The sequence below is a fragment of the Homo sapiens genome, chromosome 10 (genome assembly GCF_000001405.40).
Source record: "Homo sapiens chromosome 10, GRCh38.p14 Primary Assembly".
Lineage (NCBI taxonomy): Eukaryota > Metazoa > Chordata > Mammalia > Primates > Hominidae > Homo > Homo sapiens.
The window spans coordinates 34,433,039-34,455,484 of NC_000010.11; the positions used below are offsets into that span (position 1 = coordinate 34,433,039).

The 22,446-nt window shown below is 36.7% G+C and overlaps 1 protein-coding gene across 11 annotated transcripts in view; it reads right to left on the minus strand.

The window, feature by feature from the left end:
• Window positions 1-22,446, minus strand: part of PARD3 (par-3 family cell polarity regulator) — a 705,736-nt gene that overhangs the window by 323,478 nt on the left and 359,812 nt on the right. For 9 of the 11 annotated variants that reach the window (NM_001184789.2, NM_001184788.2, NM_001184786.2 and 6 more), the window contains exon 5: window positions 17,279-17,410. The exons of the other annotated variants lie outside the window; for them this stretch is intronic. In NM_001184789.2, the coding sequence (NP_001171718.1) occupies window positions 17,279-17,410 (132 nt within the window). The remainder of the gene's footprint in view (window positions 1-17,278; window positions 17,411-22,446) is intronic. 11 annotated transcript variants of the gene reach the window in all.

The following is a 22,446-nucleotide window of genomic DNA, read 5'->3' on the forward strand; positions in this document are numbered from 1 at the left end:
ACCTTAAAGTACATTTAAAGTACCTTAAATAAAATGTTTACTTTCAATAAAAAATTTCTCTGCATATTTTACCATTTCAAATATATTTAAGGAACTAAGACACAGGATTCTACCTTTTATTAAAATCTACAACCAAAGGAGTAACAGTTAACTGTTCTGTAATAATGTGTAATCTAACATAACTTACTCCCAAGTCAAAAGCAAAAACTTAAAAATTCAAATAGTCATTATATTGAGCCACAGAAAATACACCAAGTCACTGCCTAAGTCATGTCCAATATTAGACAACTAAATTACCAAAAAGTTTCACAGATTGCTCAATGGAAAAACCTTTTAAAAATAACAAATACATTATTTTATTTGAATCAAGACCTATTTTTCTTGGCCAACCTACAAAAATATGTTTCTCTTTCTAAGAGTTCAGGACATTAATACCAAAGTCTCAGCCAGAAGTTTATGAAAGTATTACTGAACTGGATCTGTTTATGATTATAATACAAAGTTCTCAGGAAAATTAGTCCCCCAAGGGACTTAAAATATGAGTAATTCAAAAAGCCCAGATTTCTGCTGATATAATCAAACTAACATTCCTTGCCCTCCCCTCAAACTTTCTCCAATTTAATCTAGAGGAGATTCTTGAAAAGTTAATCATTCAATGTAAGAAAATATATACTATCTATGGAATAAGATTTTTTTATCAAAATGGTTGCTGTAAAAATGTTTTAAGAGAAGAACATTTCCAGATATACAAATTACAAGCAGAAAGCCCTTTATAATAACAAATGTATTCAATAAAAGCATGGTTACGCTAGGCTGCAAACGTATGTGACAGAGACCCAATGCCTCCACACATTGAGTCATGCCTCCCTCGAAAACAAAGCAAATTAAAAACTCAGAGGAACAGATATGGGTCCTGCCCTCTTTAAAAAGAAAGACATAATTAAAATGAAATTTGGAAAGTGCAAGGATGGGAAAGAATAAGACACTATTATGTGTGCCTCACATTGGTTTTGGCAGGGATCGGGTATGGCTAAGAATAATGAGCTGAAGGAGGCAGGTGGCAGGAGATCAGAACAGCAGATCCTAGGCAGGAAAAAGGGAAGAGTTGGCCAGCATGTTCAAAGACCCAGAGATGCAAGAACAGGGTAGATCTGGAGACTAGAGTGAGTTCAGCAGGGCTGCCTAACCTGGGAATGCACCCTGGAAGCAGCTGCGATCCACATGGTGAAGGAACATCAGGAAGACTCAAAAAGGACAAAAACACCAATATCAGCCCTCACACTTAGAGTATTTCATGTGTTTTAGCTACTGTCTTAAGAGCTTTCCATGACTCATCTTATCTCATCCTCACAATCCTCTGAAATATATCACAATAGATTATGAAGCTTGCTCTGACACTTAGAAAGTTCAGCAGCTTGGTCAGCATAAGACATGCTGTGCAATTCCAATCCAGGTTGCTGCAACTTCAAGCAGCTGTTAACCACTTCACCCACGGTGTTCCTGGGTATGGTCAGAGCCCCAGAGTGTGTCAAGCAGTGCTCCTGACCACACATCAGTCTAGCCACAGTGGACAAAGAGATGTAAACAGGGAGGAGGGCTGCAGTGTTGTGTAGTGACCCAGGTGAGAGCTGTTGACAGCTTGGACTTTGGAAGTAGTAATGAAGATGCAGAGGGATGAATGAATTTAAAAATACAATTGCCAAGATTAGAGGCATACAGAAAAGAGGAGGAAAAAGTAAAGAACACTCTAAATATCAATGGCTGATAAAAGGTGCAATATCAGGATCCTGGACTGTCTTTTCCTTAGTGAAAATAGCCTCAAAATAACATCATAACTATCACATTCACACACCAGCACATATTCACATTCACACGAGGCTTTGCTATGAGCTGCACAAATTCTGTATTTATTTTGATCAAGCATAAAATTAATTTAATTAATTAGGACAAGTTGACATATAAGAGATAGAAAACCAAAATAAATAAAGGTATCAGGGAACGGTAAAAGACATTTAAACATTCTGTCATTCTAAACACTTACATGCAATTTCAGAAATTCCACATTTGATATCTAATATTAATTTAATACTTATTTATCCTGTGTATATGTGTGCATAGCTGTTTCTGGTTTACATTTTGATATTACAAATAACAGGAAAAAAAAAGGAAGTCACTGTGGCTATCTCTGGTACTTTTGTTGTAATTGCAGATGGCAACACTTCATCATCTCAACTTCTTAAACATCAGAAAGGGAAAAGTTTGGAAACATCAAGAACAATCTAAAATCAGTTGCTTCCTAGAGTCAACGAATCAATATATCCAAAGACACAGAATTCTTACCAGCCAGGACTTCCAAATACTCATTTAAGCCAATAAATGATGGAACAATGAAAGAAAGAGAAAGACTGCCAGATCCAAATAGGTAGTAAGATAATGAGAATACAAATTGCCAACAACCTTTCATGGTATGAGAAAGGTTACAAATGAGACACTAATATCTGTTGACTAAGCCCCCAAATAGACCAATCCCATCAACAGAAATCTTGTATCTTAAGAAGGTGTGCTTTCTTCAGTGAACCCGAGCAATCGAGAAAAACATAGTATGTTTACGTTTGGCAAGAAGACCACATTCATTCACAAAAGTTTAAATATTTCACATAGGTGGCTTCTATACTATCATATAACATACAGTCTAAGACATAACAGGAAAAAAGTTAACACAGAAGTAAATTACAAAGCACCCCGCTTTGGGATATACTAAGGGAAGAAAACACTATTGATTCTGTTCAGACAGAATTTATGGGCAAAAGTTACTGTTGAGAACACAGCATAAAACTCTTACTTTTCAAGAAGCACTTAGTGAACTACCCATCTTAAAAAAAGAAAATCTTGTCCTTTTTCTGTCCCCGTCATTCTACTCATTTTCATTCTGGCAAAGTATGCAAAAACAACAACTATCAAATAGGAGATAGGAATGCTCAGGGGTAATAACTCAATTCCAGTTGAAAATATAAAAATATGAATCAAATACGAAATTTAGAATATGAAAAGAATACACAAGTTATGCCAAAGGTAAGAACTTTCAGAAAGTCTCATTTGATTTATGTGCATTTCAGAGTGACTGACATCTGAGCAAATGCTAAAGAATTGAACTCAATGCTCTAACAGAGCAAGAAGAACCCAACTCTCACCCCAAGACGTCCTTTTCCTTAACTGTTGTTTATTTGTTGGAGGAAAGGGGAAGGTTTTGAATGGTCTGTGCTCCTAAACAGTATAGGAAGCCCACTTGCAGCCTGTATGTTGGCCAACTCCATCAACAGCCTTCTGCTTTAGAGAATGTGTAAAGGGAGATATTTTAAAGGTATAACTGATCAAGTCAGTTTAATAGACTGCATACAACATCATGTCACAATGTGAGGTGATAGAGTGAACAGGGTCTCTTGGGCATTGCTAGTGGAGTGCAACATGGTACGATGTCTACTGAGGTCAGGTTGACAACATCTATCAAAGTTACAAATGTATGTAATATTCCTGTACAATGTGTAAACATACAATTTCATTTTTAGGCATACTTCTGTGAGAAACTCAATACAAAATGACTTATCTATAACAGGTTATTTACTGCAGTATATTTATGCAACAGCAAAGGATAGTAAATAACCTTAATGCCCATCAATAAACACTGGCCCAGCTATACAAAGGAAAATTATCAAAGTGTTTCAAAAATGGACACCTTTTATGTGTCAGTCTATAAGGATTGCCAAGCTATATTAAGAAAAAAAAAATCAAAGCACAGGATACTGTAGTAGTATTTATATAAAAAGGTGAAAAGAGAATATGTTTCCGTATTTGCTCATAAAAGCATGGTACCATTTGAAAGGAGCCACAAGAAACAAATAACTGTGGCTGAATACGGGGAGGAGAGCTAGCTAATAGAGAGTTGGGGGAGGGAGACTACTATTTTGCATCTCCATGTATAACGTTTGATTTTAGAACTATGAATGTATCACCTTTGCAAAATTCAAATAAATATTTTAAAAATTAAAGAATGTTATCAAATTAATCCCCCTATAGTCTGAAGAGTTATACTGTATCCCATGGGAACAGGGAAGATTAGAATCCTGTGTCTCATACAGAAGTCTAATGAACCCTAATGATAATAAGGAATTGGGACACCTATCATCATCAACTCAAAAAAACAAAAAATCCTCTATAGCCTGTATGGGGTATCCTCAAACCAGGATACACTCCAGTGACTAAGAAACTTTTTATGCAATACCATAATGAAGAATATTTCCTCTGTATTTGAAAATGATTTCCAAAACTCAAAATAATTCTCATATCAAATGTCAATTTCTACCAAATATCCATGTACAAAAAAAGCTTTACTCAGAGAACTGAGGAAAATACTCCCCAAAAGCTATATACTAGGTATTACATATTAATGGTAGATCAGAATTTGTAACATCCATGTTTTATATATTGAACATGTAAGCAAACATCCATTGTTCCTAGAATAAGAAAAAAATTCATCTCCAAGAAAAAAAATTTGCCAGTTTGGGGTCTTAAATTAACAGTATAATTTATTTTCATTTGAATAAAAATGAAAAACCCCTGGACTCTCTAAAGAAAAAAATTTTAAACAGCTAAAATCAGCTCGCAAACAAGTAAAATACGTAATATTTTATGGAGGGAATATTTAACTATGTTATGTTCAAATCAATTGCTTATAAATTATTCAATATAATCAAATGGTTTGTTCAAATATTGTTTTTCCAATTTAACAGAAAACTTATGTCACTTTAGTTATATAAACATGAAGAGTTATTTAATATTTCCTGATAATTAAACATCTTAAATATTTAATTAAATACTTTTAGAGCTAATAGAGTTGACAACTATCTTGGGCCTATAAGAACACTTTTTTGGCTTTTCCTTTTGTCCCACAAAAATCTCACATAAGTAGCTCATAGCAGCTCTTACCCTCTGCCCCCTCACTCCCTCTACAAAGCCTCTGGAGAGCCAGGTGGCTTTCCCACGGCTAGTGTGATCAGCGGTGATACAGCAGACACCACTGGATACAGGCCAGCGGGGACAGACTGAGCGGGCTTATCTTCTAACACTGAATCCATGTTCAACTACAAGACATTCTTGAAGAAAGTTCACAAACGATTAAACTTATGCACAAGAAAGGCTGTGCTCTCCATCATATCAAGATTTAAAAAAATAGGAACATTGCATTACTTTGAGAGAACTTACATTTCCCTCCATTTCTTGGTCCTTTAGTTTATAATCATTTTTTTCTTTTTGTCATATGCAGATGCTAAGTTATAAGCAATAATGTCATCAAAATAGTACAACTATTTATGAGGTTTACAAATGTACATGTCTTCATCAAGTTTTCATTTATTTACCTATAATCTACAGTTTATAGCCCATAATTAATGAAAATCACCATATCACATTATATGGCATTATAAAAGAGTCAATATAGTTCACCCAACAAAGATCCACCCATAATACATGATATCAGAAAAAGTAGGGACATTATGAACTTTTTCCTTTCAATTTATTGAAAGACTATTTACCCAAAAGTATATAAGGGTTCACTAGGAGCTATAGTAAACAAGACAATGCCTGGGCCATTTTAGGACAGCAAAACAGACAGAAAGATAAAAAATAAAAAAGAAACAAAAGACAAATTTAGATTCATAAATATCACAGAGAAAAGGATGGTGAGCAAAGAGACAATAACAGAAGGCTGCAGGGATATCACCCGCCATCAAATGGGGGGATGGAGGAAAGTCCCTGAGGGGAAGACAGGTGACTGCATGAAAGCTAAGTGGGAACCAAGTGTGTGAACTGTGAGGGAGTGCAAGCCAGGCTGGTGCCACAATGAGACAGGGGTTTGCCAGGGAGGACTGGGGTTGGTTGAGTCTATCTGCTGATAGGAAAGTTCTAGAAGAGAGAGAGAAAAACAAGAGACATTCACGACTGTGAAGACAGGAGATTATGTGCATGACTCCGTAGACAGGAGATTAATACAAAAGCAACGTCCTAATACTGGGAAGGGTTGGGAGACAGGATGAGAGTGAAAACTTTGGTGTTTGAGAGGTCAGGGAAGCTTCTGCATGCGAGGAAGGGCAGGGCTGTAAAAATGGTGGTGGGAACCAGGCTTTCATTTTTTCAATGGAATAAAAAGCTAGGTCAGAAGAGTTAATGAATTACTTCGGAGAATTAAAGGGCTTACTAAAGGTAGGAAAAGAGGTGGTGCTTCTCAAAGGGTTAAACTTAATTCCAACACATATCAAGACTGCAATTCCATCTTACAATTTGGAAATGACAGTAACTTGCAGAAAAAAAAAAAAGCTCAGTCTTCCAACCTTGTGAAGTTATGTATTAAAAATAAAAACATTTTTTAATTTTTTTTTCTTTTCTTGAGAGAGTTTCACTCTGTTGCCCAGGCTGGAGTGCAGTGGTGCAATCTTGGCTTACTGCAACCTCTGCCTCCCACGTTCAAATGATTATCCTGCCTCAGCCATCTGAGTAGTTGGGATTACTGCGTGTGCCACCACACCCAGCTAATTTTTTTATTTTTAGTAGAGACAGGGTTTCATCATGTTGGCAAGGCTGGTCTCAAACGCCTGACCTCAAGTAATCCACCTGCCTCAGCCTCCCAAAGTGCTGAGATTACTAAAAATAATAACATGTCAAAAGTATTACGTGCCTACTATAAAGGACAGTAATAATACTGACACATGAAATGAGACCCAAAAGCCTACGCCAACCCTACCGCAATACCGTACTTTAATTTCTTTATAATTTGTTCAGCTATTTAAAAAGATAATCCACAATCTCCTACCGCCATTAGAGCACAGGAAAAAAAAATTCAAAAATAAAGGAAAAACATGGCTCATATATCTACAGAAGTCACAAAAATACTATAGGGCACATATACCCAGGCCTCAGCGGTGGGAAGAAAACATACAACCACCGGGCAAAATGTTTGAACACTGAAGACGGGAATTTTTTAGGGCCATTTCAAGACCATGTTGAAGGTAACTGGGAAAGTCCTGGATAGAAATAGATTAAATAGCTAGATCATAAAATTTCAAAATTAAAAATGACTTATAAAAGTGATTCAATTTCTAAAAGCAGGCTTGTAGGACACAGGCAGTGAAAAAAACACATTGTAGGATGAAAATGTTAATGCAATTTCATAACCAGTATTTTTTAAAGAATAGCAGTTGCACAGCTCATGGAACATAGATGGAACGTAGAAATAAAGAACAAAATTTCAAAAGCAAATGACGTACAGATGGGTGGGAATAAAGAGAGTTATAGTATAAAGCATGTATTCCTTCCATTGTCGTATTTAATCACACAGCTCACAACAAAAATCTTTAAGACTGCCTGCAATGAAAATATGCAAAGGCACCTGAAGGTCAAAGTTAAAAATGAAAATGTATCTTTCTCCGTAGTGCAAGCTCTAAATGTCTAGTTCTAGCAGTAGTATTCACAGGTAAGAAAACCATCAGCTCCTAACAGACTTCCCCTGAAGGTTAATCCACACACCACCAAAGATTTTTCACTCAGTAAAATTTCTAACTTACTTCCCCGCTGCTTGCAGGCTTTTAGCTCCATAGGCCAAAGAAGCAATAAATAAAGACAGTTGTAAAATTTGTTTTAAAGGAGAAATTGATGAGTACCCCCATTCAACTGCACACCCCAGGTCCAAAAGCAAATGAGTGATGCTGTGCCCTCCAAACTCCATTCATATCACGAAGGGACCCAGATGCCTAGCAAGTGGTCAAGCAGAAGCTCTCATGAAGATACTTAGCATTCTTAATGGTATCCTTACATTTAATCTTATTAAAACTACACACGCCCGCCAAAAACAAAAGAGAATATAAGGAATGGAAGCAGACATAGAGATTAACACTGATGTCATTTTTGTGTCAGATTATGTTCTTCAGAAAAGAACCAGAGATGATTTTAAAAGGTTAAATTTTATTCTAATTCTGAGAAGATGCCACGGAAGCAAAAATCAAATTGCGAAATGACGATGGGGGCATTAGAAATACACCAGGGATGAAAATAAACCACCCCAGCATACCTAATGGTACTTCCAATATGCAAGGAGAAAAACAAAATTTAAGAAAACGAGATACCCAATACTTGAGGGAGTTGTTGAGGTATAACCAATAAACCTAATGTTACCTAAAAAGATATGAAAGAAAACATCTTATGAGTGTCTTTAATATACAAGAAACTGGGTCTGCACTGGAATGTGTGCTGTGTCACTTCAGCTTTGCCCACAAAGTTAACATCTGCCAAATGGGTATGATTTTCCCCATTTTGTATACAATGAAAATGAAGTTTGCATAGTTTATCTTTCTTTATTTCTATATAACCAGTCTTAGGGGTCAGAAACAGGACACACTCATTGGAGGGACAGGTTTCCAACCCTGAAACATGCTTCCCAGATTCACTATGTCTTTTGTTGTTAAATATATGGAAAAGTAGAATGCCATCTGGTACTCCTAAAAGTAACCCTGCACATGACTGGAAGCTCCCCAGAAAATGTGTGTGTCCTTCTAAGAAGAACGTCCACCAGAGCCCCACACTCCGGTCCTGTGCTTCCACTGTGGTTTCTAGTCCAGAATTCTTGGATAATAAAAGCAGAAAATATGTAGGGATCATGGAAAATAATGTGTCCCATACATATAGGGTGTTTTGATCATTGTTTTTTTAAAAAATAATTTTAACACGTGTTAGAATACCAGGGATTCTATTATCAAAGCACAACAAAATAATCTGCTACTGGCGTTAATATATCCAGGTAACAAGTCTCTTAAAAGGTTGTTTTGGTTTTATTTTGGGTGTTATTGGGGACATAACAGATTTATCTTATAAAATAGAAGTTCTGGTATTTTATAATGAAAAGTAAGTTTAATTTTAAAACAATCTTGATGTTTTTAGTTTCTACATTTGGTGTTGCTAGAGATAAACACGACTATTTTGCTTCTCTACAAATTTTATGAAGGTTTGCCAACTGGTAAATAATAATAAATCCCTTCCTTTCCACAGAACTTTTAGAATTTGGAGGCAAAGGGCTTAGTTTATTTTTAACCAAATAATATGAACAGTCATTTGGATCCTCATTGACTTCACGCTACAGAATTAACAAACCCAAAAAACCCACATCTTAACTACTATCTGGCAGCATCAGAATCTATCCTTAAGTCTCACCAATGATGGCAGATACCATGAAGCCCTATCTATTCCTATATCAGACTTTCTATAGCTCTTCCACGGTTTAATGCTGTGACCCCTCAGTCATTTCCCTGACCGATCTGAAGTTGTTGTAATCAGATTGCTGAATAAACCACCTCCTATTGTAATTAAGAAAATATAGGCACTGAGGGGAGCCCCGGTGGCTCAGGCCGGTTGTCCTGGCGCACAAGGAGGCGAGGCTACGCATTCGAGGCCAACCTGGGCAACATTTAAAAGGCCTCACATTCGTTAAAAAAAAAGAAAGAAAGAAAATACAGGCATCATGGCTCACACCTGTAATCCCAGTACTTCGGGAGGCTAAAGCAGGAGAATCACTTGAAGCCAGGAGTTTGAGACCAGTCTGGGAAACATAGCGGGACCCCACCTGTACAAAAAAATTTTTTTAATTAGCCAGGAGTGATGGTGTGCATCAGTAGTCCCAGCTGCTCAGAAGGCTAAAGCAGGACGATTGCTTGAGCACAGAAGTTTGAAGCTGAAGTGAGCTATGACTGCACCACTGCACCCCAGTCTGGGCAACAGAGCAAGAACCCAGCCTCTTAAAGATTAAAACAGAAAAAAGATAAGAAAACATTATCATTTCATACTCCAGAAAACATCTTCTTTATGTCATCTGGATAGTTCTAGATCTCAGGGAAATGAGATTTTTTTTTTTCACTTAGAAAAGGCTAGTAAGCACTTGGGCAAGGAAGGGGATTTTCTTCTATGTAGGCAGATCAGTGGAAAAAAAACAACTCTGGTAAGTCGTGTGGACACAGGAACCACAGGTTGATCATCCCAGACACCCACCATTTTATAAGAACAAGCTAAAACCTAGGCAAAACTTGCGTCCACAATTATATTGACTAGCCTGGAGAAAAACACATTTTTAAAAAACTGCCTCCATAAAACCTGGATATGCTGAAAAATGTTTCTTCACTAGTTTTTAAATTTACTTTTGCCCTCAATCTTCAAGAATTTGGCTGTAAATTATAATGAAAACAAAAAATTAAACTCATAGAAACTTACCTTCTCAAATAATTTTTGAATATAACTTATATATTGTGTATTGTATTAGTCCGTTCTCATGCTGCTGATAAATACATACCCGAGACTGGGCAATTTACAAAAGGAAGAGGTTTAATGGACATGTTACAGTTCCATGCGGCTAGGGAGGCCTCACAATCATTGTGGAAGGCAGGGAGGAGAAAGTCACATCTTACATGGATGGCGGCAGGCAAAGAAAGAGCTCGAGCAGGGAAATTCCCATTTTTAAAATCATCAGAGTTCATGAGACTTACTATCATGAGAACAGCATGGGAAAGACCTGCCTGCCCCCATGATTCAATTACCTCCCACCAGGACCCTCCCACAATACGTGGAAATTGTGGGAGTTACAATTCAAGATGAGATTTGGGTGGGGACACAGCCAAACCACAACATGTATCATGTGAATATTGTTTATAATGCATAAATATTCTGAAAAGTATAAAGAAAAAGCATCACAGCTGCAGAAAGTGACAAAGGTATATAAAATAAAAAGGAAAAAAGGTATCATCATTGCTCCCAAAACTCTGGCCTCTGAGACTTTGAGACTTGACACTGGATGGTGGGATTCTTTTGTAGCTGCCAAAGGTATGAAAATGACGTAGACATCGGCATTTTGTCTTCATCAACAAACATTTAAGTCAGTTTTCCCTCCAGTTTGCCTGTTTGTATAATCTCCAATTAAAAGATGTTTTTCTTGATGGAGAGAGCCCTAAAACATGGAAAAAACATGGATTTTGCTCTAAAGGTCAGGGCAGTCATTCCCCTATAACAGAGCTTAAGCAGTGGCTGGAATGTGCCTTGTGCCTCTCTGCTGTTTCTGCTAATTGGGCTCAGGCCTATTCAACAAGAGAAGGTTGTGAAAATGGCAGGCTCCCAATTAGCTTATGTTTTCCTTAAGGTCCCTCTACCTTCTGGTCCTAAATTCTTCCAGTCATGTATCACAAAGTCCCTGCTGCCTCTTCTGTGGAATTTATTAGTTGCAATAAAGTGTGGGAATATAAGAACAAAGTCAGCTTATGATCTATTATCTGCCAATATCAAACTATATTCTATGCTGAGTCAGGGAAACAGTTACCATTAAAAAGGAATTTGAACTTCTTAAAACACTGTCAAACATCAAAACTAAAAGTGCTGTTGTTTTTTGTTCGTTTGTTTCTTGAGTGTCAGAGTCAAAATTTCAGAAGCATAACTTGTGAGATGACTCTGATGTAGGATTCAGCTATGGGCTATTCTGAACAAGGTGATTAGTCACTGAAAACCCCGGCTACTCTTTTTGGAAATCATATTGTGCTTGCTGCTACAGACTTCTAATAAGACATACAACCTATCTTTTCTTATTGAAGTAAAACTAACCAATATTCTTATAGAAAGAAGATTCACTATCCCCGTAAGTAGGACCAATACCACCCAAAGAATAAGACACCCCAGACTTCTAGAGGGGCCAGCTAGCTTAGCACTTTAAAGCACTCTTTTGCCTTTCCATTCCTTCTGCTTATTCCCACTGGAAAAGCTGATAAGGTCATAACTGCCTTCAGAAACAGATAATGAGAGATAAGCATTAAGTAGAAAACAGAGCAAAAACAAAACCACTGGAGGCACATAAAATCTAGAACTCTGCTGACCTCACTCCAGACCACACGACTAAAGGAAGATGGCCATCAGTTCTACCCTGGTGTTCCCAAATTGGAAAGGCAGAGGATTTTTTTTTTTAAGCATACAAAATATTTTTTCATGTACATGATGCAATCCTCTTTATTATATGTTTAATAGCAAAAACTAAAGAGAAAAAGAAAGCCTCAGAAGAGACATCAGGTCATTAAAGTCAGATGACTTTCCGGGAATGGTTAACAGAATAAATCCATAATTAAATGGGAATAATTGGAATAGATTTCTAGTGTATAAAGCATAACCTAAGATTCCTCTTCTGCACAAACAATAGTGCTTACTTCTGAAAAAATTTGAGAGGGAGTTTTGTTTTGTTTCTGTGGTTCTTGTCCTCTTCAACAGATTTTAGTTTAATCAATTATTCTGCTGGATGTGAAAACATCAGTGGCTTCTACTCTTCTAGTATACAGTTTCACTCAAATCAAATTTCAGGAATGGAACATCATTTTTTTACACTTATGCCAAAGAAGATGTTTTTAGACTTAGGTACCTTCTCAGTCCACATAGACAACTAACTCAAATAACTTCAACAGAAGCAAATCAAAGCTCGGTCTTTGGTGTGTGTGGCTTCTCAATGCCATCCCTTTTGCTTAAAAAGAAACTATTTTATAACAAAATTACAAAGAATATACTACTTCCTTAAAAACAGGTCTACAATGACAGTAGAATCATAAAAGTTATATCTTTATGATATAATTAAGCTGTATCATATTTTAGAAGCTCTGGGCTACCAATCTTTTTCTACCAATTTTGCAGTATTTAAAAAAAAAAAAAGTCCTATTTAGCTTACTCAACCAACTTCTGGTCGTCACTCCCCATCCCTGCCCACATATCCCTTGCTTAACAGATCTGACTGTGTGAAGTGATGGGAAACTGTGTTTCAGGGAAGGTAAAGAAGGGAGCTCCCACCGCAGCCCCAGTTCCAGGGGTCAAGCTCTATCCATCAAAACCTATACTGGTGCTTTTACTCCCTTTGATTTTGATATGGGCAGAAGAGTAGGGCAATTCCAGCCAACAAACATGATCAGGGATCTGTCAGGAGGTTATTAGGAAAAATGTATTTGCTTTTACAAAGAGCCACAAAAAGAAGACAAAGGCCCTGTTCCCCTTCCTCTGTGCAAGGATGTGGCTCTGAAAGAAAAGGACAAGCTAGAGCACAGAGCTAAGGTGGCCTTCAGGAAGGCTCCCTGAAAAAATGTGAGTGAGGTTGCTAAGCTACAGAGTTAACTCCCACATATTCCCTAGCTCCAGACTTCCTGCTACATATATGCCAAACATTTCCTCATTCTAGATTCCAGGTTGTCTGTTACCTGTCCTATTATATTAATACGTTGAGTATTTCTAGGTACCAGCCCTGATTCTAAGCCTTTGGCGGGTATTGTATCACTTGACACGGCAACCCCTGAGACAAGGTCTACAATTATCCCTATTTGCTGGATGAGTAAACTGATGTATGGACAAGTAGAGTAATGTGCCCAAATCTCATATATGGTAAACAGCTAGTAACCAGTCAGTCTGACTTCTGGGTCCATGAGAAACTATCTAAATCTTAAAAACATTTATTTCAAAGTAATAATAAGATACTAATATCAATTAGTTTAAAAATCCGAATTATGTTGAGAAAATTATGTTTCCTTCATAGAACTGCCATGGCTGTTTTATTATTTAAAATTATTTCCATCACACAATGTTTGTATGCTAACACTTAATATATGACAAAATTAGGACATTTCCTGTGCCATCACGGTGTGCAAGGCAAGCTGTCCCTTTTTGCTGTTTCATATTTTAATACCCTACATCCATGAAATTACTTTAGGATCTTTATACCATAAAACATAGGCTGAGATGAAATATGTAAAACATTTATGATTTCTTTCTACAGCTGTCATTAATCTAAATTGAAAAACAATTTATTCCAGCATTTAGTCAACAAAATCATTAATAATTTTAAAAATTAATAAAGCAACTAAACCCTCTCTGAGTACCCACCTTGCTTTCTATCCATATAAACTTTTTAAAGAAAATAAGTGACCAACTAAACAAACACGTGGCTTTTTATTAAAAGCACTGAAAAATGATCAGCATCACTCATCACCAGGGAAATGTAAATCAAAAGCAAGGTAGGACATCACCTCACACTGGTAGGATGGCTGTTATCAAAACATCAAAATACAGCCGGGTAGAGTGGCTCACGCCTGAGATCAGCACTTTGGGAGGCTGAGGCAGGTGTATCACTTGAGGTCAGCAGTTTGAGGCCACCCTGGCCAACATGGTGAAACCCCATCTGTACTAAAAACACAAAAAATTAACTGGGCATGGTGGTGTGTGCCTGTAATCCCAGTTACTTTGGAGACTGAGACAGCAGAACTGCTTGAACCCAGGAGGTAGAAGCTGCAGTAAGCTGAGATTGTGCCACTGCACTCTAGCCTGGGCAACAGAGCAAGACTGCGTCTCAAAAAAAAAAAAAAAAAAAAAAAAAAAAAAAAAAAAAAAGGGCCAGTTGCTGTGGCTCACACCTGCAATCCCAGCACTTTGAAAGGCCGAGGCGGGCAGATCATGAGGTCAATAGATCAAGACCACCTTGACCAACATGATGAAACCCCGTCTCTACTAAAAATACAAAAAAAAATTAGCTGGGCGTGGTGGTGGGCACCTGTAATCCCAGCTACCCAGGAGGCTGAGGCAGGGGAATTGCTTGAACCCAGGAGGCAGAGGTTGTGGTGAACCGAGATCGCACCACTGCACTCCAGCTTGAGCGACACAGCAAGACTCTGTCTCAAAAGAAAGAAAGAAAAAAAAGTCAAAATGAAAGTGATAACAAGGATGCGAAGAGAAGGAAACCCTGGTATACTGCTGGTGGTAATGTAAATTAGGACAGCCTCTATGAAACAGTAAGAAGTCTCCTCAAAAACTTAAAAAAATAGAACTACCATATGATCCAGCAATTCTGCTTCTGCATATATATCCATGATAAATAAAATCACTATATCAAAGACATATTTGCAATTCCATGTACACAGAAGCATAAATTCACAATAGCCAAGATATGGAAACAACCTAAGTGACCTGCAACCGATGAATGGATAAAGAAAATGTGATATACACTGCGTGTGTGTGTGTGTGTGTGTGTGTGTGTGTACACATAAATGTATAAAATGGAATATTATTCAGCCTTTAATAAAAAAGGACATTCTGACATTTGTGACAACATGGATGAACCTAAAGGGCATTATGCTAAAAGAAATAAGCCAAACACAGAAAGACAAAATCTGTACGATTTTACTTATAAGTGGAATCTTGGAAAAAAAAAAAAATGAACTCATGCTAACAGAGTACGATGGCAGTTACCACAGGGAGTTGGGTGTGGAAAAAGGAAAAATATTGGCCATAGGGTAAAAACTTTCAATTGTAAGATGAATGAACTCTGGAGACCTAACGTATAGCATTAGGTGAGTCTAATAAACATATTTTATACTTGAAATTTGCTAAGAAGCTAGGCACAGTGGCTCATGCCTATAACCATGACACTTTGGGAGGCCAAGACAGTAGGATTGCTTGAGGCCAGGAGTTCAAGACTAGCCTGGATAGCAAAGGGAGACCGTCTCCACAAAATAAAACATTTTTTTTTAATTAGCTGGGCATGGTGGTGTACATGTATAGTCCTAGCTACCAGGGAGGATGAGGTAAGAGAACACTTGAGCCTAGAAGTTCGAGGCTGCAGTGAGCTATGGTTGCACCACTGCACTCCAGCCTGGGTGACAGAGCAAGACCTTATCTCAAAAAAATTAAATTAAATTAAATTTTAAAAAATTTGCCAACAGAATAGATCTCAAGTGTTTTCACCACACATACACACAAAATTATATCTATGTAATGTGATGGATAAATTATCTTTTTTTTTTTTTTTTTTGAGAGAGAGTCTCACTCTGTCGCCCAGGCTAGAGTGCAGTGGCGTGATCTCGGCTCACTGCAAGCTCTGCCTCCCGGGTTCACGCCATTCTCCTGCCTCAGCCTCCCCAGTAGCTGGAACTACAGGTGCCCGCCACCACGCCCGGCTATTTTTTGTATTTTTAGTTGAGACAGGGTTTCACCATGTTAGCCAGGATGGTCTCGATCTCCTGACCTCGTGATCCACCCACCTCAGCCTCCCAAAGTGCTGGGATTACAGGAGTGGGCCACCGCACCCGGCAGATAAATTATCTTGATTGTGGTAATCATTGTATTAATATATACATATATAAAAACCTCATACTGTACCCTTTAAATATATACTATTTTTATCTGTCAATTATACTTCAATAAAGCTGGAAGAAAGCACAATTAAAATTATAAAACACTGGGATTCCCTACTACAAAAAACCCATTGTGAGTCAATAAAAACAACTGAAGCATTAAAAAAAAAACACTGAAATAATTAACTCATTGGAGGTGGGGGGAGGGGGGAGGGAAAGCATTAGGAGATATACCTAACGCTAAATGACGAGTTAATGGGTGCAGCACACCAACATGGCACATGTATACATATGTAACAAATCTGCACATTGTGCACATGTACCCTAAAACTTAAAGTATAAAAAAAAAGTGGAAAAAAAAAAGTAACTCATCAGATACATTCTGAGTCTTCCATATGAAAGGAGGACTTTGCTAAGTGATGCAACAACTTTGTAAATAGTCATTCTTCCCAAGGCAGAAAACAATTATTTCTGAGTGGTAAACAATTCTGATTTCACGAATTGTAGGTGGCTGCACTGCACAGTGAAACAGATAACTCTAAAGACTGATAAACCTAAAATAGGTCCTTGAAATTTATGAAGGGATAAGTGCCCAAACATGACAAAATACCGTAATCTAAATTCTAAAACAACACCATAGGATATATTTCTCTCATACAGTGAAGTTAGGTACAACAGAAAGTTTTAATTTGCGTCTTCAGATCCTTGGACTTACTGCCTATTAAAGAAGAGAAGAGTCTTGAAAGTCTACTCACTAACAGCATGATTCACTGCCAAACATCTGTGCCTCTGTAGCATTACAAACTCTAAAGCCCTGAACCTTCAGAATGTACTGCAAATATTCATAACTGCTCACAATAAATCTGTGATCAGAGACCAGCCAGAAATATCCTGCATTTATGTTAGATAAACTCTGACATAGAGATTGGTACTTAACTAAAGTTTGTTAGAATAATTAACTTTTAATCATCACCAGTGATTGAGATGGGAGAAACATCTTTGGGGTATGGGACAGGATGTTACAGCAATGACGCACATATAAGGATTTGTCATGTTACCTGTTCTTGTTTCTCCAGCCACTTGCCCACCATTGGGTGACTGGCACTCAGAGACGAGCGAGCATTGTCTCTCTGAAATTGGTTAGACCAGTTACTAGTATCCCGCGGGAGGCTTCTGTAGTTTTCATCTTTCTATTCAAAAAGAAACAAAAAGGTGTCTTGTAAAAAACCAGACCTTGCAAATCAGTAATGCACCTGGTTTTTCAAAAGTAGCAGAAAAATGATTCTACATATTTAAAACATCTTTCCAATCCTATACAAAATAGCTGATTGAGGACATTCCACCCAGATTAGACCTCGGAATTATAACCATGTGCCGAGGACAGGCAAGTCTAATAATTACAGCAGGAAGGGTGGCACACACACGGCACACAACAGACAAAACACTACACTTTGCACTCCTACCCAAATCAATCACCTAAACCAAGTACGTACACCAAAAAGTGAAAAGTACTTCTATACAAGACTTTCACTCTCTCTCAACTGTGGCATTTTCCCTTCTTTCCAGTCTCATAATTAAATTATGAGGTACCATCTTAATTCATCAGAAATGCTAAAAATAAGGAAGATTAATAAATTTGCCCTTTCTTCAAAGCCTTATGGTTTTGTGATTTTTGGATAAGAGATTTAGATTATTCAGGCTGTTTCTATTACCTACTTCACAAGATAGCAGTCAGCATTAACTCAAACATCAGGGGAAAAAACTGGCCTATCACTATTATTTGTTACATAACAGATACGTAATTGTTCACTGTGACATGGATATAACAAGCGATGTCTTTACATAAATATTTATCAACTAAGTTTTTAATACTCCCCAGAACAACCAAATGCTACGTGATATTTCTTTCAGATAAAAAATTATAATAACTTCCTTTGGCTTATGAGCTGTAAAACCTCATTTCAATGTTCTGAAAAGAAATGAGAAAGCTAGGATAAACTAGGGGAGTCAAACTTTTTAGTTCAAAGACGAAATCTAAATCATCTCCTATAAGAACAAAGTAAAATATTACCTTCAGTTGGATCCACTTAACTCAGTACACCAAGTTAGAAGAAGTACTGGCATATTATCCTTAGTAACACTGTTAAGAGTAATCTGGCTATAAGTATTACATGTGTGATTGATACTTACTCTTCATGTGCTAAACTATATGAACACCCAATACAAACACAGAAACAAAAAAGTGCAATATAATAGGTTTGCAATGTATAAAACTTAGTTATAGATCAGGATACTATTTGCTCTTCCTTCATGAGTTCCATCAGGGAATAAAACTTAAAAATGAATTGATAGTATTGGGTTTATGTAAATATTGGGACATATGTTCAAACAAAAGGAAATTGATAAACATTTACCAACATAAACTTTGACATGAAACTTCATAAACTTTAAGAATTAACCTGCAAGAAACAAAATCTTTAAAAACTCAGTAGCAAGATGAAACTTTAGCAGCAAGTTTTTTTTTTTTTTTTAATAGAAATGGTAAGGAGAAGACATGGACAAAAACTAACTAAGGAAGCAAACTAGAAACTAAGGTTCACCGTATCTCAAGATACTAAGAGTCTCTCCTTAAAACTTAAGCTTCAGAAAAAAGGAAAGGAAATACCGTTTCATATGATAGTCCATAGATACATTGATAAGCTTATTCTGATAAGACTTTCTTATACTAATAAGAAATTCAGATAAGTCATAAAGGGTAGACTTGTTAATGACAGAACTTTATTTATTAGTGACAGAACCTTATGTGTCGACAAAGAGAAGGAGGAATTAAAGTACACTGAAATGCAAGTATAACTTTTATGTCAAAAATAAAAATTGAGGCTATCATTGACTAGGGACCAGGCTTTCATACTCATTTCCCACCATTTGAGGTGATTATTACACCAACTGCTTACTTAGAGAATGAATAATTAACCCAAAAGTATTTTTAAAAATCTACCCTCTCTTTTCAGTAGGAACTGTATTTCAGAGAAATCAACAGTACCAGTTCATGAGGGGAAACCTGTCTTTTCAGAAGAATGCCAAATAATGGAAATAGAACTAATAACAGAATTAGAAATATGACCATTTTCAACTCCTAATGAAATAATTCAGGCAAAGATAATCATACTAAAACTATTATGTTAAGAGTTGATAGATAACTGGATATTTGCATAGTGACAAAATATCACTTGAAAAGAAAAAGATCTACTTTTGAAATGAAGAGCTCAGGCTCCACACAACTCTCACCTTTTGGTGTCTGGAGTCCAGTATGCTACTGGTACCCACCCCTCTGCTCCTTCCTGAATCTATGCCATTTTTCCTCTTCCCGTAAATGGTCTTGTTGGCGCTATGGACTGCTGATTATTATCTCTCTGGACAAGCTCAAAAAGTGCACAATTTCACCACGTCCTACCCTGACAACTTTTAAGCACAAGTCACGAAAACGAAACTGTTTCCTGAATTCATGATCTCAGTTTCCAACAAGAGGTCCCAAAGATACCTCGAAACTGAGCTCCCTATTTTGACTCAGGCACCATTCCCTAAAACATTTAGAATTAGCTTTACTCTCTTTCCTCCCTCTTTGATCTCCACAGCTTCTAAGTCTTATTGATACAACATTTTTGCTGATTTTGGTCCTCGGCCATAAACCTAGTTCAGGATCAACTTGTCTCTTACCTGAAATTTTAACAGTGGCCTTCTAACTGGACACAGGCTCTGGCCATATCCTCTCTAACAATGTTCTGCACCACTTTCTGGCACAGGAGTTTCCTAAAACATATGTTGGATCACATCAAACCTCCAGCAAACACTATAGGTAGACCAGAGGGAATTTCAGACAATGGTGCTTACTGTACCACACAAACTTCTTCACCTTCATTCTTGCTTTTTTTGAGACCTGTACTTCCAACATCATTTCTTCTATAGAAATACTGAACATTCTTCAAAGCCCAGTTCAAACGCTATTTTCTAAGAAGCATTCCCTGATTCTCAATAGAACTAATCATGCCATGCTTTTTGTTACCACTCTGTTCTAATTTTACTTTAACTATGGTTCTAACTTATAATTTAGCTAATTTTAAAAATTGCTATTTCTAATCTTACAGGGAAGCCTGGGCAGATCATCATTCACCTTTAAACCCAAGCACTCAGCACAGTGGCTTACACCAATGTGGATGACTTTTTCATGAATATTTTTTATGTTCCCTATTTCACATGGTTTCAAAATCCTGGAATTTTAAAAGAACATTTTGATAAGTTGTTTTAAAAATTGTTTAGGGAATGCTTCAAAGAGGCATTAAGATAAACTTTAGTAAAATGTATTTTCAGTGAAATGTAATCACTGTATTTTTAGATTTATACTAAAAGATGTATACCACTGTTATATGCCTATTTCAACTTCCTGTCACACCTACAGCATATGATGTCTGTGGCAAATGTGATTATTTCCAAATGCATAGAAAAAACAGTACACTGTTTCTCCATGTAAGTCAATTATGACATGCAGTACCTGCAGCACAGCAACATACAATAATCAGACTAAGAGAAAGAATGGCTGAAGATGGCAAGGTCTGCACTTTTCCACTGCACTTGAAGAATTTTACAATTTTATATTTGTGGAATCAACTTTGAGTTCATGGATAATAAAACTAAAACTAACGTTCACTCTCATAACAAAGGAATTTTCCTAATTCATGTAAAATCAATGATGAATCCATATATTGACTTATGTATAATGTATGAAAAGTGCAGTTATTTACAGCAATCTTGAATTATTATCAATCAGTTGAAGAATTTTTAAAATACATTATTAATTCCTATCAACATATTTGTTATATTTTTGACAGCATCATGCAGGTCCTACTAGCGTTTCAGTCATGTTTCTTCCTCCCAGTCCTGAAGTCTGGCCACAAATCTAGTTCACCGTCTACTGCATACAATGTGTATCAAGTGCATACAAGGACTGTAGGCCTGTAAAGCTGTGTATCTGTATTTATGATGGAAAGATATCCATAAACATCGCAGCATACAATGTATTAAATATTTTCTACAACACAATTTATACTAGATACCACTGTCCACTGAAATATACATCATGCACTCTATTTTCAATTTGAAAATATTTGCTTTAGCATAAATAATTGTTAAAATATGGCACTCGTAACCAATCTATTCAAGACTATATATGCTCACTTATGAATCAAATTATAACTATAAATCAAAAATTTTAAATCAAATATACATAATTCTAATGATTATAAAACTTACTAATGGCATAAATTAATTTGTTAGAGTTATGACTTTATTTAAAAGATTATACAAAAAAAAATGCCATAAGAAATTACTCTCCCGTTTTTAAATTATAACTTTAATCCTCCACTTATGAGGCTGCCCCAAATAGCTGCTCAGCTTTGTGCGAGGTGGGAAATTTTCCTTCTTGCCAGGGAAAAACAGATGTTCCTGCTGTGATCAGGGATCTTCCTTATCATCTAAATGTACTGCCACAGCATCAGGTGTCAAAAAGCCACTCCGGCTGGGAAATGCATATTAATTTGCTGCTCCCTGGTAGCGGTATCCTGGCTATGGAGAAAATCTCTTTCAGGGTAAGGAAAGTAAGTGTCTTCTCCCACCTTAGCCCTCCCCAAGCTTATTACAATTCAGGAAAACTATATAGAGCCCACCCAATGCCTTGAGATAGAGGCTCATTCCCGGCATACTAAGCTGCAACTCCAAGCTTTATCTCCCAGAAACAGCTATTTAGCTGATGGTCAGATTTCTTGGCAAGACTATATCCCTCTGTTGCAGAAGTCAGAACTGGGGTTTCATAAGCATTATAGAAGTCATAAACATTTCTGTGTTGGCACAGGAAACCCAACTATGTTTCCACCTCGTTTCAGTGCAAAAATCTCATTTTTTTTAAGAATTATGAGAAATCATAGCATATTTTGAAATACAAAATACTCAATGCATATACATTTCATTCAGAACCTCTATGCATCATATGGTTTCAAATATTCCCGTGTGATGTTAAGATTTTACATTTCCCACATTTTTCAGCTCTGCAATTATGGTAAAAGAGAATTCAATGTTCTGCTTAATTATTTCTCCAGGAAATGATACACAAAAAACAAAGGGAACTATTTTCAGGATATCTAATCTGAAATTAGGAGACTGAAGTAAAATTAAT